The sequence below is a fragment of the Homo sapiens genome, chromosome 14, assembly GCF_000001405.40.
Source record: "Homo sapiens chromosome 14, GRCh38.p14 Primary Assembly".
Taxonomy (NCBI): Eukaryota; Metazoa; Chordata; class Mammalia; order Primates; family Hominidae; genus Homo; species Homo sapiens.
Genome location: NC_000014.9, coordinates 49,653,414 through 49,668,842, shown reverse-complemented (window position 1 = coordinate 49,668,842; position 15,429 = coordinate 49,653,414). Strand labels below are relative to the sequence as shown.

Genomic DNA, 15,429 nt, shown 5'->3' with positions numbered 1-15,429 from the left:
GGTGACAGTGTAAGGACCCCTCTCAAACAAACAAACAAAACTTTTATTAGAGTATAAATTAGATTTTAGAAATTGACATTACTTATATTTCCCTACCAAAGATCATCTATATGTTTTCTATATTAGGTTTTCTCTGGCAACTGAGATGCCCACAGCCCAGGAGCCTTTTCCCTTTTCTCCTCTTTGACAAAGTAATTTTAAGGCTTAACTAAATAATTATTCTTTTCAAACTGTCTTAATTCTGTATCTGTGATGGCACATTCCCTACTTAAATTACATTTATCTACCTGTATAATATCCTTTTACCAATTGCAAAAATGATGTGCTAAAAAATACTGTTATTTTTACTTCTCTTGTGTTGTTTTAGGTTCTTTTTTTTTTTTTTCTTTTGATAGAGACATGGGGTCTTGTCATGTTGCCCAGGCTGGTCTTGAACTCCTGGCCTCAAGTGATCCTCCTGCCCCAGCCTCCTGAGTAGCTTGGACAATAGGTGTGCACCACTACTCTTAGCTAGGTTCTTTTGCCTTCCCTTCCCCCTTCCCCCTTCCTCCTTCCCTTTCCTTTCCTTTCTTTCTGGCAGAGTCTTGCTCTGTCACCCAGGCTGTAGTTCAGTAGTGCGATCTTGGCTCACTGCAACCTCCGCTTCCCAGGTTCAAGCAATTCTGCCTCAGCCTCTTGAGTAGCTGGGACATACGTGCACACCACCATGCCCAACTAATTTTTTTGTATTTTTAGTAGAGATGGGGTTTTGCCATGTTGGCCAGGCTGGTCTTGAACTCCTGACCTCAAGTGATCCGCCCGCCTCAGCCTCCCAAAGTGCTGGGATTACAGGCGTGAACCACCACGCCCAGTCCTTGGTTCATATTTTTTAAGAGTAACTCCAGTATTAAATGTTAATGTGATTATTATGGAATGATGGGATTATATAAGTTTTTATTTTTTTCTTGTCTATATTTTAAATTTTTTTCTATAGTAAACATGAATTATTTGTAATAAGAAAACATAAAGATAAAACGTAAAGATAAAAGAAGCTCCACTTGGTAATTTCTATAAATATGAAAACTTATATATCCTTTTATCTAGCAATTGTGTTTCTAGAATGTGTAGAACTTTATTCAACAGTTATTATCTGTAGCTGGATGCAGTGGCTAGTGCCTGTAATCTTGGTGACTCAGGGGGCTGAGGTGGAAGGATCACTTGAGCCCAGTTTAAGGCTGCAGTGAGGTATGAGAGTGCCACTGCACTCCAGCCTGGGCAATGTGAAACCCCATCTCAAAAAAAAAAAAAAAAGTTTCTATCTGTGTAGTGGGCCAAGAAAGTTGCACAGAAATATTAAACATTGTTTTTATTAGTAGAAAACTGGGAACAACTTAAATGTCCTTTAATAGGAGTTTGGTGAAATAAATGGTCATATGTATAATATAGATATCTCTATTCTTTAAACAGAAGGAAATCTATATGTAGAAAAATGGAAAGATGTCTCAGATAATATTAACTTCAATTAGTTAAGTTGCAGAATAGTACATATACTATGATTTCATCTTTGTAAATAAACTGTATAGGTGTGTGTTATAAATTATATATGTATGTATTTACATATATTTAGGATTACATATAGAAAAAGATGGAAAGTTTTTTGTTTTTTTTGTTTTTTTTTTGAGACAGAGTCTTGCTCTGTCACCCAGGCTGGAATGCAAGGCGATCTCGGCTTACTGCAAGCTCCGCCTCCCGGGTTCACACCATTCTCCTGCCTCAGCCTCCCGAGTAGCTGGGACTACAGGCGCCTGCCACCATGCCTGGCTAATTTTTTGTATTTTTAGTAGAGACAGGATTTCACCATGGTCTTGATCTTCTGACCTCGTGATCCGCCTGCCTCGGCCTCCCAAAGTGCTGGGATTACAGGCGTGAGCCACTGCACCTGGCCGGAAAGGATTTTTTACAATAGTGTCCCAATTTTTACTACCTTAAACTTTCTGATTAGAAAAAAAGATCAGATTGAGAATGTAAATAATAATGAGAGCCTTTTAAAATACTAAGTAAAATTGGAATATATATTTTTAAATAGCTTGCTAGTTTTCAAAAGGTACTGTTCAAAGAAAATAAAATTGATATTCTTTTCTATATTTAAAAAATAAATGTACTTATCATTATTCAGAATGATATGGTGTGAGGATTCAGTCATTGGTAAGAGCCTGAGTCGATGTGGTGTTTCTTTAGGCATCATACACTTGATCTTACAGCTTTTTTGTAGGACAAAATTAAACATCCTAAGTTTAATTTTACAACTTTATTTCCATTTTATTTGATTTTCTACTGTAAAGTAGCTATAAATGCTGAAATGTATACCCCAAATATAGTTATTTATAAAAAGTTTTGTTTCTTGAAAGAATATATTTACAGTCTTTAAAATTTATTTTGTTTTATTTTAGCTTAAAACAATAGAAACCTTATTGGGTAGTACAACCAAAATCGGAGATGCGATTGTTCTTGGAATGATAACGCAGTTAAAAGAGGTAACTTAATAAGCATCAAACTTTTATTTTTGGCCTTGGATTGATGAAATGTCGGTTACATAGAACATTTTTGTAGTGGGCACAGGAATGTATTCTTTATTGAAAACTCGCCTCACCAACAGAACAATATTGGAATAGTGGTAATACGAGGAAATAGTATCATCATGTCAGAAGCCTTGGAACAAGGATAAATAATGGCTGTTGGCTGGGCGCGGTGGCTCACGCCTGTAATCCTAGCCACTTTGGGAGGCTGAGGTGGGCGGATCACCTGAGGCCGGGAGTTCAAGACCAGCCTGACCAACATGGAGAAACCCTGTCTCTACTAAAAATACAAAATTAGCCAGGCGTGGTGGCACATGCCTGTAATCCCAGCTACTCAGGAGGCTGAGGCAGAAGAATTCCTTGAACTCGGGAGGTGGAGGTTGTAGTGAGCTGAGATGGTGCCATTGCACTGTAGCCTGGGCAACAAGAGCGAAACTTTGTCTCAAAAATAAATAAATAAATAAAATAATAATGGCTGTTCAGCAGAGAAACCCATTTTCTCTCTCCATAGGGCCTGTTTTACAATGACGTAAAAATTAGGTCATGTACATTTTCATATTAGACTTTTTGTTAAATAAACTTTTGTAATAGTAAAAAAAAAAAAAAAAAACCCAGAAAAAACAAAAACCTTTTCTCAGTCACCAAGTGTCTTTTTCATCTGTGTTTGGTTTCCTGAGAAGACATCAGGACAGAGTGTCTTGTGCAGGAGCCCAGTTTGCATAGCCTGAAATTAGGCCTGTAGTGACCTCTGGATAAACGGAGAGTACTGGGTTTCTGAACAAGCAAGCTGCAGAGTATGTCCTGGTCCCTTGGACATGCTGTTGGCTGTCTTAGAAGGTACCTGGGGAGACCCTCCTTATGGCAGACATCAAATGTCCCTCTTGCCATTTCTTATCTGTAGGAGTCATTCTCCATTGTACCTGTGAGGAGTCAGAATCTCAGTTAAGTGATTAGTCTGGGGTTATCAGACTAGTAAATGGAAGAGCCTGGACTAGAAATAATAGCTGATTTTTAAAATCCACTTTCTCCCTATTGTATTCTGTTGTCAAACTTGTAGTTTAATTTTTTTGTCAACGGTTTTCATTGTTACATAAATGTGGATTTATTTATTTTCATTTTTTTAGGGAAAATTTTTTCTGGAAGATCCTACTGGAACAGTCCAACTAGACCTTAGTAAAGCTATATCCTTCACTTGTCTGTATTTTTTAAAATCTGCATTACGTGAATTGGGGAAATTGATTATATATCCTTCTAAAATTTACCTATTTGGGTTCTCAATGTAACTTCTCTATGTTGCTGGTGTAGGAATGTAGAGATATAATCCTAAACAGGGACAGAACAACTTTAATTTTCTCTTATTTGGAGAATCTAGATGAATCACTGACGAAATTTATATCATGGTAAGAATGATCCACCCTGTCAATATTACCAAGAATTAAACATGAGGACATTTAAAACTAAAATTTTTTAAGCTCTTTCTAAGCTGTGGTCTATTCACAGTTTCAAATGGGAAGTCTTTAAATTTATTATTTAGAAGCCTTGTTGGACTCAAAATGTATGTTGACTTTATTACTGCCTCAAGAATAGAATTATTTTCCTCAACTGTTGTGTACCAGTTCCATAGTGGTTTATACACAGAGGCATGCTTTGTCTTAGCAGAAGGTAAGTCAGTATACTTTGTTACTGTCCTTCTTCTCATTCTCCAGTAAAACTTTCTGCTTTGGGTAAAATATGTTAACATGATATAATTTGGGATACCATTAATTAGAAGAGCATATTTTTGGCAAAATAACTCTTAGACTGTTAATGGGCTAATAGAAATCTTTTTGGGGTGATGAAAATGTTCTGAAATTAGATAGTAGTAATGGCTACACAACTTGTGAATATACTAAAAATCACCGAATTACACACCCTTTTTTTTTTTTTTCTTTTTTTTTTGGAGACAGAGTCTCACTCTGTCACCTAGGCTGGAGTGCAGTGGCGCGATCTCGGCTCACTGCAACCTCCGCCTCCCGGGTTCAAGTGATTCTCATGCCTCAGCCTTCCGAGTAGCTGAGATTATAGGCGCATGCCACCATGCCTAGCTAATTTTTTGTATTTTAGTAGAGACGGGGTTTCACCATGTTGCCCAGGCTGGTTTCAAACTCCTGAGCTCAGGCAGTCCACCCGCCTCGGCCTCCCAAAGTGTTGGGATTACAGGCGTGAGCCACCATGCCCGGCCTGAATTATATACTTTTTTTTTTTTTCTTTTGAGATGGAGTCTCACTCTGTCACCCAGGCTGGAGTGCAATGGCACGATCTCGGCTCACTGCAAGCTCTGCCTCCCGGGTTCACACCATTCTCCTGCCTCAGCCTCCCTAATAGCTGGGACTACAGGCGCCTGCCACTACGCCTGGCTAATTTTTTTTTATTTTTGTATTTTTAGTAGAGACGGGGTTTCACTGTGTTAGCCAGGATGGTCTCGATCTCCTGACCTTGTGATCCGCCCGCCTCAGCCTCCCAAAGTGCTGGGATTACAGGCATGAGCCACTGCACCCGGCCCTGAATTATATATTTTTAAAGGGTGAATTGTATAGTATGTGAACGATACCTCAATAAAGTTGAAAAAAACACTTAATTTTATATAGGGCCATAAAATGAAACATTTCCTAATCTGTATCAACACGTACTGCCAAACTGAAAAGTGAAAAGTTCTGAATCTATTTCTATTTAATGAATTTTATAAGTTGAGACTCTCTGTGGATCTAAAGTTGTTCACTGTGGTTCATTGAGGTTGGCAACCTCTGTAATTAGTTCACAGGGCATGAGACTAGCCTGGCATTATTGCTTTGTTGTAACATAATTTTGTCCTTTCAAACATAGAGGATTAGACAAATGAAAGTGACGTTACTTTTTTTCAGGTTGGTTTGAAGATCAAGTGTTTCATGTCAATGCCTTTGGATTTCCACCCACTGAGCCCTCTAGTACTACTAGGTATTAAAATGTTTGGTTTATACTCTATGGGAATTTGGTAATACTGGCAGGAGTGAATGTAAGATAGTACGTCATATCTCAGTTACTAAAAGGTGTCAGGCTTTGTGTCAAAATGGAAAAAGCAATGGAAAATGAGAATTAGAAGACTGGGTTTTGTATGTAATGTGAAAACTAGCAGATTGGCCAACAATTAGTTGCAATACCGTCTTTGTACTTCGGCTTTAACTGGGAAAGATTTCCAGTCTGTTTTATCTCTGGGGTTGATGAGAAGTTGAAGTGAGATAAGACAACTAGGATAACACTTAGAAGAATATAATTCCATGTTAATATAAAATTCTCATTTTTATATTCCAATGAATGAAAGTTATGTGAGGTAGCTTATAGCTCCTTAATATAAGTGAAAGCATCATAATATTAGAGCTATTCCAAAATGGCCTTCTCTTAGAGGAGCTGAGCTCCCTGTCACTTGAATTATTTGGGCAGAACCTGAATGATAGTATAAAAATTGTACTTGGTGTCCCATGGGTTGAAAGTAGTTTATAGACCTTTCTTTTCTTCTCCCCACTTTGAGGTGTTTAAAAACATTTCGAGTTAGTTTCCAGTGTATAAAAACTAGAAGATTTCTCATAAAGGCCTAGGTTTCAGAGTTCTCTTAACAGGAGGATCTGGCAATACAGAGCCTGAATTCTCACACAGCAAAAACTAAACTGCAGTGGTTGCCCACTTTGGGCAGGGCATGTATGTGTGCCCTAGTTAGTGTCAGTGGACTGCTGCTTTGCTATTTAGTGTTATCTTCCTGGAGCCTGTAAGCATTTGAGTTTGCCACCTCTGGGGGAATTAAAGTAGTTGCCTTCTAACCATGAGATTCTGTATAATGGTGATGATTTCAAAAGGAAGCATAAAGATTAAGATTTTAGTTTTACCAGGAGGCAGAGGTTGCAGTGAGCCGAGATCGCACCACTGTACTCCAGCCTGGCAACAGAGCGAGACTCCGTCTCAACAACAACAACAAGGATTTTAGTTTTAGTATGCCTGTATAAATTCAAGGTGCAAAGGCAACATTTCCTGGCTGGGAGTTTACTGGCAGGGCGGCCTGTGCAGAGCATCTACTCTTGCTGTTGAAGTAACTGAGGGAAAGGTGCTGATCTTGCTAAGGAGAACACAAGCCCTAATCAAGCCAAGCTCACCTCTATTTGAGTGCTTTTGGTGCAGTTTGTGGCTTTTTTCCAATATGGTAAGTTTCCTTTGGAATATATTTAGAGCAAAATTGCCATTGTCATGGTATTTTTGTTTTGTACAAGCTTCAAAATTACTACTTTGGAATGAGAGGTATAGTTGAGTTGGCTGGCTGTGAGTTTACCATTTGTTTCTCTTTAGCCAAGAGATCATTATTATAATGTTTCAAATAATTTTCCACTTAAATTATACCATTTTCTCTAAATCCAACTGCTTAGTATATGCTTAGTAAACCAAAGGATTGGTATGAGGTGTAATAAAGTACATTAAAATAAAATGATCATTTTATTCTTGTTAGGATTATAAATTTTCTCTAAAATGCCTTCAAAATATAAAATTCAGGGGGCTAAATCTGGTGGTAGTCAATCAATTCAACAACTAATATTTTAGTGAGTATGTTTTATGTGTAAAATACTGTTTTACAAATAAGTGCAAATAGGTCTACAGCATGGTCCTATCCTAAAGAGATTTACACTGACTCAATACCCTCCCTACCATTGTGTAGTTAATGCAAATAATTTTTTTTTAAACGGAAGATGTGAGTAAGGCTTTTCTGAAGTTTAATTTCTCAATATTTAGCTTAATAGGTGTTTCTGTGATGCTCTGATTTATGTTTGGGTATATGCTTAACTGAAATCATCATACAATTATGTCTACTTACTGCATTCCTCTAGCAACTATAAAATTATTACTGTACCTTTGAAAATGCCAGTTGGTCCACTTGGTGGGAACAATAACAATATCAGTTACCATATCTAAGGGCTCACACCGTACTAAGCACTGTGCCCTGTGGGCTTTCTGTACATTATCACTTGTATTCCTTCTAGTAACCCTGTGCAGTAGATATCAGTTTAGTTTTTTTTTGCATTTGAAGAGTTAGGTTAAGAAGTGTCGATTTGGGAGGCTGAGGTGGGTGGATCGCTTGAGCTTTGGAGTTCAGAACTAGCCTGGGCAACATGGTGAAACCCTGTCTCTATTAAAAATACAAAAATTAGCCAGGTGTGGTGGCATGCGGTTGTAGTCCCAGCTACTTGGGTGAGAGAATCGCTTGAACTTTGGAGGCGGAGGTTGCAGTGAGCTGAGATCCTGCCACTGCACTCCACCCTGGGTGACACACTGAGACTTTGTCCCCCTACCCCCCAAAAAAGAAGGGTTGGGTAATTTGTCCATGGTCACAAACTTTTTTTAAGACGGAGTTTTGCTCTTGTTGCCCAGGCTGGAGTGCAATGGCACCATCTTGGCTCACCACAACCTCTACTTCCCGGTTTCAAGTGATTCTCCTGCCTTAGCCTCCCAAGTAGCTGGGATTACAGGCATGTGCCACCACACTCAGCTAATTTTGTATTTTTAGTAGAGACAGGGTTTCGCTATGTTGGTCAGGCTGGTCTTGAACTCCCGACCTCAGGTGATCCACTGGCCTCGGCCTCCCAGAGGGAGGCTGGGATTATAGGTGTGAGCCACTGTGCCTGGCCCAAACTTTTTATTGTTAGAGATGTGCTTTGATCCCAAGGTTTCCGACTCAAGCCAGTATGCTGCATTGGAAAAGTAGTTGAGTCTTTAAAAAAAGAAAAGTTTTTTCTTATTAATAATGTAGTTCATGATTGCAAAAAAAAAAATTAGAAAATATATGAAGGCACACAAAAGGAAAGGAAAATCACCTGTAATTTTACTAAACAGAAAAAAACTGTTAACATTACTTTATATATGTATATACAGTTGTGTATTGCATAACAACGGGGATACATCCTGAGAAATGTGTTGTTAGGTGATTATGTCACTGTGCAAACATCACAGTGTACTTATACAAACCTAGATGATATAGCCCACTGTACACCAAGGCTGTATGGTACAGCCTGTTGCTTCTGTGCTACAAACCTGTGTGACACGTTGCTGTATTGAATACTATAGGCAACTGTAACACAATGATAAGTATTTGTCTCTCTAGATACAGAAAAGATAAAGTAAAAATATGGTATAAAATATAAAATTGGTACACCTGTATGGAACACTTATCATGAATGGAACTTGCAGGGCTGGAAGTTGCTCTGAGTGAGTCAGTGAGTGAGTAGTGAGTGAATTTGAAGGCCTAGGACATTACTGTACACTACTGTAGGCTATTAACACTGTATACTTAGGCTACACTAAATTTGTTTAAAAAGAGTTTTCTTTCTTCAGTAAGAAATTAACCTAGCCTGGGCACAGTGGCTCACACCTATAATCAATCCTAGCACTTTGGGAGGCTGAAGGGAGTGTTGCTTAAGGCCAGGAGTTTGAGACCAGTCTAGACAACATAACAAAACCTCATCTCTACCAACAACAACAACAACAAAATTAGCTGGGTGTGGCAGTGTGTACCTGTAGTCCTAGCTACTTGGCAAGCTGAAGTGGCAGCATTGCTTGAGCCCAGGAGTTAAAGGCTGCTGTGAATTATCATTGTGCCACTATACTTCAGCCAGAGTGACAAAGGAAGACCCTGTCTTGAAATAAAAATTTTTTAATAAAATTAATTAACTTTAGTTACTATAACATTCTTTATAACCTTTAAAAAATTTTAAATTTTTGACTCTTTTTGTAATAAACAGCTTAAAACACAAACACATTCTACAGCTGCACAAAAATTGTTTCTTTGTATCCTGATTTTGTGAGCTTTTTTCTTTTATTGATTAATTGATTTACTGATACAACTGTACTCTCTTCTTCAGGCTGGAATGCAGTGATATGATTATAGCTCACTGCAACCTCAAATTCCTGGACATAAGTGTTCCTCCTGCCTCAGCTTCCCAAGTAGCTAAGACTGCTAATTAAAAAAAAAAAATTGTGTAGGGATTGGTGGGGGTCTTCACTATGTTGCTCAGGCTGGTCTCGAACTCCTGGCCTCAAGCAATCCTCCCACCTCAGCCTCCCAAAGTACTGTGATTACAGGCATGAGCCACTGTGCCCAGCCACTTTTTTCCATCTTTATATTTTCTAAAAATCTTTTTTGTTAAAAACTAAAACAAGTGTATTAACCTAGGCCTATACACAGAATCATCAGTATCACTGTTTTTCATCTCCACATCTTGTCCACTGGAAAGTCTTCAGGGGCAATAATTCATGGAGCTGCCATCTGTAGTAACAATGCGTTCTTCTTGAAGGACCTCCTGAAGGACCTGCCTGAGGCTGTTTTACAGTTAAAAAAAAAAGTAGAAGGACTACACTCTAAAATAATGATTAAAAGTACAGTAAATACATAAACTAGTAACATAGTCATTTATTATTGTTATCAAGTGTTACATATTGTACATTATTATATGTGCTGTACTTTCCTACAACTGGCAGCTCAGTAGGTTGTATACACCAGTGTCTCTACAGACACAGTAATGTGTGGCACTAGGACATTGTGACAGCTAAGATGTCAGTAGGCAATAAGAGCTTTTCAGTTCCATTATCATTCTGTGAAACCACTCATATATGCAGTCCGTCATTGCCAAAACGTTTTTATGCCGTGCATGACAGTCCATATGTAGTAGATCCTCATTAATTTACAGATTTGTGCTAAAATGTTTTTGTACCTCCTAAAGTCAATACTAAAGGTGCTTTAGTGGTCATTTATGCTTAGCAGAACAGCAAAAAATTTTGAGTCACCTGGCATGCATGTTCCCAGCTGAAGTCGAACAGGCCATACTGCCTTCTTGTTTCAGCCTCATTAAGAGATGACCAGAGGGGCCGGGCGCGGTGGCTCAGGCCTGTAATCCCAGTACTTTGGGAAGCCTAGGCGGGCGGATCACGAGGTCAGGAGATCGAGACCATCCTGGCTAACACGATGAAACCCTGTCTTTACTAAAACTACAAAAAATTAGCCGGGCGTGGTGGCAGGTGCCTGTAGTCCCAGCTACTTGGGAGGCTGGGGCAGGAGAATGGCATGAACCCGGGAGGCAGAGCTTGCAGTGAGCCGAGATCATGCCATTGCACTCCAGCCTGGGGGACAGAGCGAGACTCTGTCTCAAAAGAAAAAAAAAAAAAGATGACCAGAGGACAGAGACTGCAGGGAGCAGTACAGGGTAGTGCAAGAAGCTCTGGCCCTGGGGCCAGTTTTGTGTGGGGAGGGGGCATTTGAATCTCACCTCTGGCACCTGTTTTTGGAGCAACCTCAGATAAGTCACTTAACATTTCTGAACCAACTTTTCTCATTTGTAAAAATAGAATCTACCAGGATAAATTGGTTTTAGGACTTAAGACTATAATCAATCCATGTATATATAAGTACAAATTTTCCCAAGGAGCAATGGTTCAGTGTTTGCCAATTCATTGTTTGTGGAGATTTTATAGAACATAATATCACTAATAACAAGAATCAACTGGCTGGGCGTGGTGGCTCATGCCTGTAATCCCAGCACTTCGGAAGGGCGAGGAGGGTGAATCATTTGAGGTCAGGAGTTCAAGACCAGCCTAGCCAACATGGTGAAACCCCATCTCTACTAAAAATACAAAATTGGCTGGATGCGGTGGCATGTGCCTGTAATCCCAGCTACTCAGGAGGCTGAGGCAGGAGAATTGCTTGAACCCGGGAGATGAAGGTTGCAGTGAGCTGAGATCGCACCGCTGCAGCACTGCACTCCAGCCTGGGAGACAGCATGAGACTCCGTCAAAAAAAAGAAAAAAAAAAAAAAGGAATCAACTATAACAAGATATGTATGTGTATATCTGGAGAGTTTCTTTTTATGCATGAATGCACAGGTCTATATCTATTCCCTTTTTTTGGCATTATAAATGGATACATACTGTACCTTGCTTTGTAACCTGTGTTTTTCATCTAATAATATGCTATCAACATTTTCTATTACTGTGAAATATTGTTTTATAGCATGATTCGTGACATTCAGGAAATATGTTTTGAGCACATACTGTATTGCCACTAGGTGGGGAGACAGACATGAAACAATCGCCCAATTACAATTGGCTGACTACAATTTTTTTTTTTTTTTTTGAGGCAAAATCTTGCTTTGTTGCCCAAGCTGGAGTGCAGTGGCATGATCTCGGCTTACTACAACCTCCATCTCCTAGGTTCAAGCGATTCTCCTGCCTCAGCCTCCCGAGTAGCTGGAATTATAGGTGCCTGCTGCCATGCCCGGCTAATTTTCACATTTTTAATAGAGATGGGGTGGATTTCACCATGTTGGTCAGGCTGGTTTTGAACTCCTGACCTCAAGCAATCCCCCCACCTCGGCCTCCCAAAGTGCTGGGATTATAGGTGTGAGCCACCCTGGCCTGATTACAAATTTGATAAGATCTGCAAAGGAGAAGTACAGGTTCCTATGAGAGTGTATAATGGGAAAATCTAACCTCTTTTGGGATCCTCAGAGGAGGCCTATGGGGTATTTGCATTTAAGCTGGGAACTGCAGGATGTCAGTGTAGAGTGGGCAAGAGTGGTGGAGGCTGGGAGTGTGTAGATTACCCACTTTCCTACTGACCCTTGCTTGGTGAGCATTGAATAAAACCAAGCTTTGAAGGAACCGTTGAATAATTTTTTCACAGTTCTTGGATATAGGCTAGTCTTTGTATATATCTTTAATTCCTTAGGATTAGCCATTCCAGAAGTAGAATTACTTGGGCAGATGGTTAGCACATATTTTGAGGTTTCTATGAGATATTGTTCAAATGGTGTACTCATTTCTTCTACTTTCAGTGACATAGGAAATTATTATTTTAATGTTTGCTTTAGTCAGTTTTTTTTTTTTTTTTTTGAGACAAGAGTCTCACTGTCGCCCAGGTTGGAGTGCAGTGGCGCAATCTCGGCTCACTGCAGGCTCCGCCCCCCGGGGTTCACGCCATTCTCCTGTCTCATCCTCCAGAGTAGCTGGGACTACAGGCGCCCGCCACGTCGCCCGGCTAATTTTTTGTATTGTTAGTAGAGATGGGGTTTCACTGTGTTAGCCAGGATGGTCTCGATCTCCTGACCTCGTGATCCGCCCGCCTCGGCCTCCCAAAGTACTGGGATTACAGGCGTGAGCCACCGTGCCCGGCCGTTTAGTCAGTTTTAAGACACAGATATAGCCTATTATTTTATTTACTGCTTCCATATTGCTTATCTTGTTTTAGAATATTTAGATAACCTTTGTACTTTTAAAGTGTTACAAAGAGTACCTTTTTACACTGGAAAATAACTTCATTAGATACAAAGAAGCTAAATGTATACAACTATTAGAAAAATATCTCTAGTGGTATATAGAAGATAATTATGTTATAATTATCTAGGGCATACTATGGAAATATTAATTTTTTTGGAGGTCCTTCTAATACATCTGTGAAGACTTCTGCAAAACTAAAACAGCTAGAAGAGGAGAATAAAGATGCTATGTTTGTGTTTTTATCTGATGTTTGGTTGGACCAGGTGGAAGTATTGGAAAAACTTCGCATAATGTTTGCTGGTAGGTCTTATTTTTTTTCTTCTTTCTTGAACTCTTTTAAGGGTTCATGTTTTAAAACTTTTTGAGTATTCTATTTATCTTTTTGAGTATTCTATTTAAAAAAAAACAGAGTTAGCAATGAGATAATTTAAATTAGATTTCATTTTAAAGACTTAAATTTTTACATTAAGAAAAAAACCTGTGTGTGTGTGTGTGTGTGTGTGTGTGTGTGTTTATAGTCATGATAAGTAAGAATTAGTCCTGAAGTTCAAGACCAGCTGGACAACATAGTGAGACCCCATCTCTAAACAAAAACAAAAACAAACTGGGTTTAAGTGCAAGCCTATTACCCTGGGCAGGTTACTTAACCTAAGTCTCAGATTTTATGGATGTTCTGAGGAGTAATTAAGCCAATGCAGGCCTGGCCTATAGTAAGTGCTCAATGAATGGCTACTGTTATTAGTATTATTTTAATAAGTTATTAAAATGTTATTTTAATTAAAATAAATTTTTATTATTAGAAAGTCATGGTTAAAGGGTTTTTAACTTGATTTGTAGACTAGAAAAGTATTGTTCATTTACTCTTTTATTGTTTAGGTTATTCACCAGCACCTCCAACCTGCTTTATTCTGTGTGGTAATTTTTCATCTGCACCATATGGAAAAAATCAAGTTCAAGCTTTGAAAGGTATTAACGATCTATTTAATAAGAAGTGTTTCTATAGTCATATAAACTAAAGTAATAAGAAATTATCCATAATATTTTAATTAAGAATATACAGGATTGTATCTAATCAAATATAATTTTATGGCATTATATGCAAATTTAATTCAATACCTTTTTAAAATTTTAGATTCCCTAAAAACTTTGGCAGATATAATATGTGAATACCCAGATATTCACCAAAGGTAATGATCTCTAGCACTATATATTTTTTCACCGTTTTACTTAAAAAAAAAACAAAAAATGAATTTTGTTATATCAGCAATTATTACAAAACTAAGGAAGAAAGATAAAGTTGAGAAAATTAAAAGAACTAAGAGATAAAGTTATCCTCACATTGTACTAGAGGTTTATAATGAAAAGTATTGAAAGGGATAGAGGTAATTTCAGCCATACTTGGAATTTCTTCGTGGCATTACTCTTAAGAGTCTAGAGCTTCACTCTCCGATATGATAGTCACTGGCCACATGTCTCTTTAAATCTAAGTTTAATTAAATTTAAATATAAAATTCAGTCCATCAGCTATGCTAGCCACAATTCAAGTGTTCAATTGGGCAGTGCAGATATAGAACTTTTCTATCATGACATTACTAGACAGTGTTGGTCTGGAGACTTAATAGTTCATTTATTATAATGCATGAAATTTAAATGTTTTTTAATTTTAAAGAGAAAACAAAGGGAATAACTTGCTTTTAAGCTATTGGATAGTGTTACAATAATATTTTTAAATGAATTGTGTTGAATTTTGCTACAGTAGTCGTTTTGTGTTTGTACCTGGTCCAGAGGATCCTGGATTTGGTTCCATCTTACCAAGGTAAGTTTTGTTCAGATTTTTGCAACAGTGTAGAAAATTTTGTAAAACTTAAAAAGATAAACTATATCACATAAATTGTTTTTATAGGCCACCACTTGCTGAAAGCATCACTAATGAATTCAGACAAAGGGTACCATTTTCAGTTTTTACTACTAATCCTTGCAGGTAAGAATTAGTATTTTGTGTTATACATTTTTCCTTTCATTTAAAAATTAGCCAGGTGTGGTGGCTCATGTCTGTAATCTCAGCACTTTGGGAGGCCGAGGCAGGCAGGTTGCTTGGAGTTCCGAGACCAGCTTTGGCAACACAGTGAAACCCATCTCTACAAAAAGTACAAAAATTAGCTGGGCTTGGTGGCACGCGCCTGTGGTTCTATGAAGAGGCTGAGATGGGAGGATCACTTGAGCCTGGTAGGTGGAGAGGTTGCTGTGAGCTGAGAATGCACTACTGCATTCCAGCCTGCAGCCTGGGCGACAGAGCAAGACCCTGTCTCAAAAAAACAAAAAACAAAAAAACAAAAAAAACAAAAAACAAAAAAACTAACTTGATTCCTAAAATGTGTCTCTGAATTTCGACTGTTATGGAATAAATATAAGAAGAAAATTTATTTTTGTTTTAGGTTTCTCAAAACTTTGAAAATAGTTTAACTATATTTAAATAATTTATTGGTAGTCAATTCAGACTCTTGAATAATGGATAGCAGTTTAAAAATAGATATTATTACTACATATCCTTTAAGAA

The 15,429-nt window shown here is 38.2% G+C and overlaps 1 protein-coding gene across 9 annotated transcripts in view; it reads left to right on the top strand.

Annotated features, from left to right (window-relative positions):
* The window catches only part of POLE2 (DNA polymerase epsilon 2, accessory subunit), a 44,660-nt gene that overhangs the window by 19,372 nt on the left and 9,859 nt on the right, over positions 1–15,429 (top strand). For 6 of the 9 annotated variants that reach the window (XR_007064016.1, XR_007064015.1, NM_001197330.2 and 3 more), the window contains 9 exons: positions 2,430–2,513; positions 3,680–3,736; positions 4,169–4,217; positions 5,456–5,528; positions 13,000–13,172; positions 13,749–13,838; positions 14,005–14,059; positions 14,629–14,688; positions 14,776–14,853. Coding sequence is in view for 7 of the 9 variants with exons in the window: in NM_001197330.2 (NP_001184259.1) it covers positions 2,430–2,513; positions 3,680–3,736; positions 4,169–4,217; positions 5,456–5,528; positions 13,000–13,172; positions 13,749–13,838; positions 14,005–14,059; positions 14,629–14,688; positions 14,776–14,853 (719 nt within the window). In the remaining 2 variants the exon portion in view is untranslated. Of the gene's footprint in view, positions 1–2,429; positions 2,514–3,679; positions 3,737–4,168; positions 4,218–5,455; positions 5,529–12,999; positions 13,173–13,748; positions 13,839–14,004; positions 14,060–14,628; positions 14,689–14,775; positions 14,854–15,429 lie in introns of those variants that run through there. The other 3 variants (NM_001348384.2, XM_047431483.1, XM_047431484.1) reach the window with 3 other exon arrangements.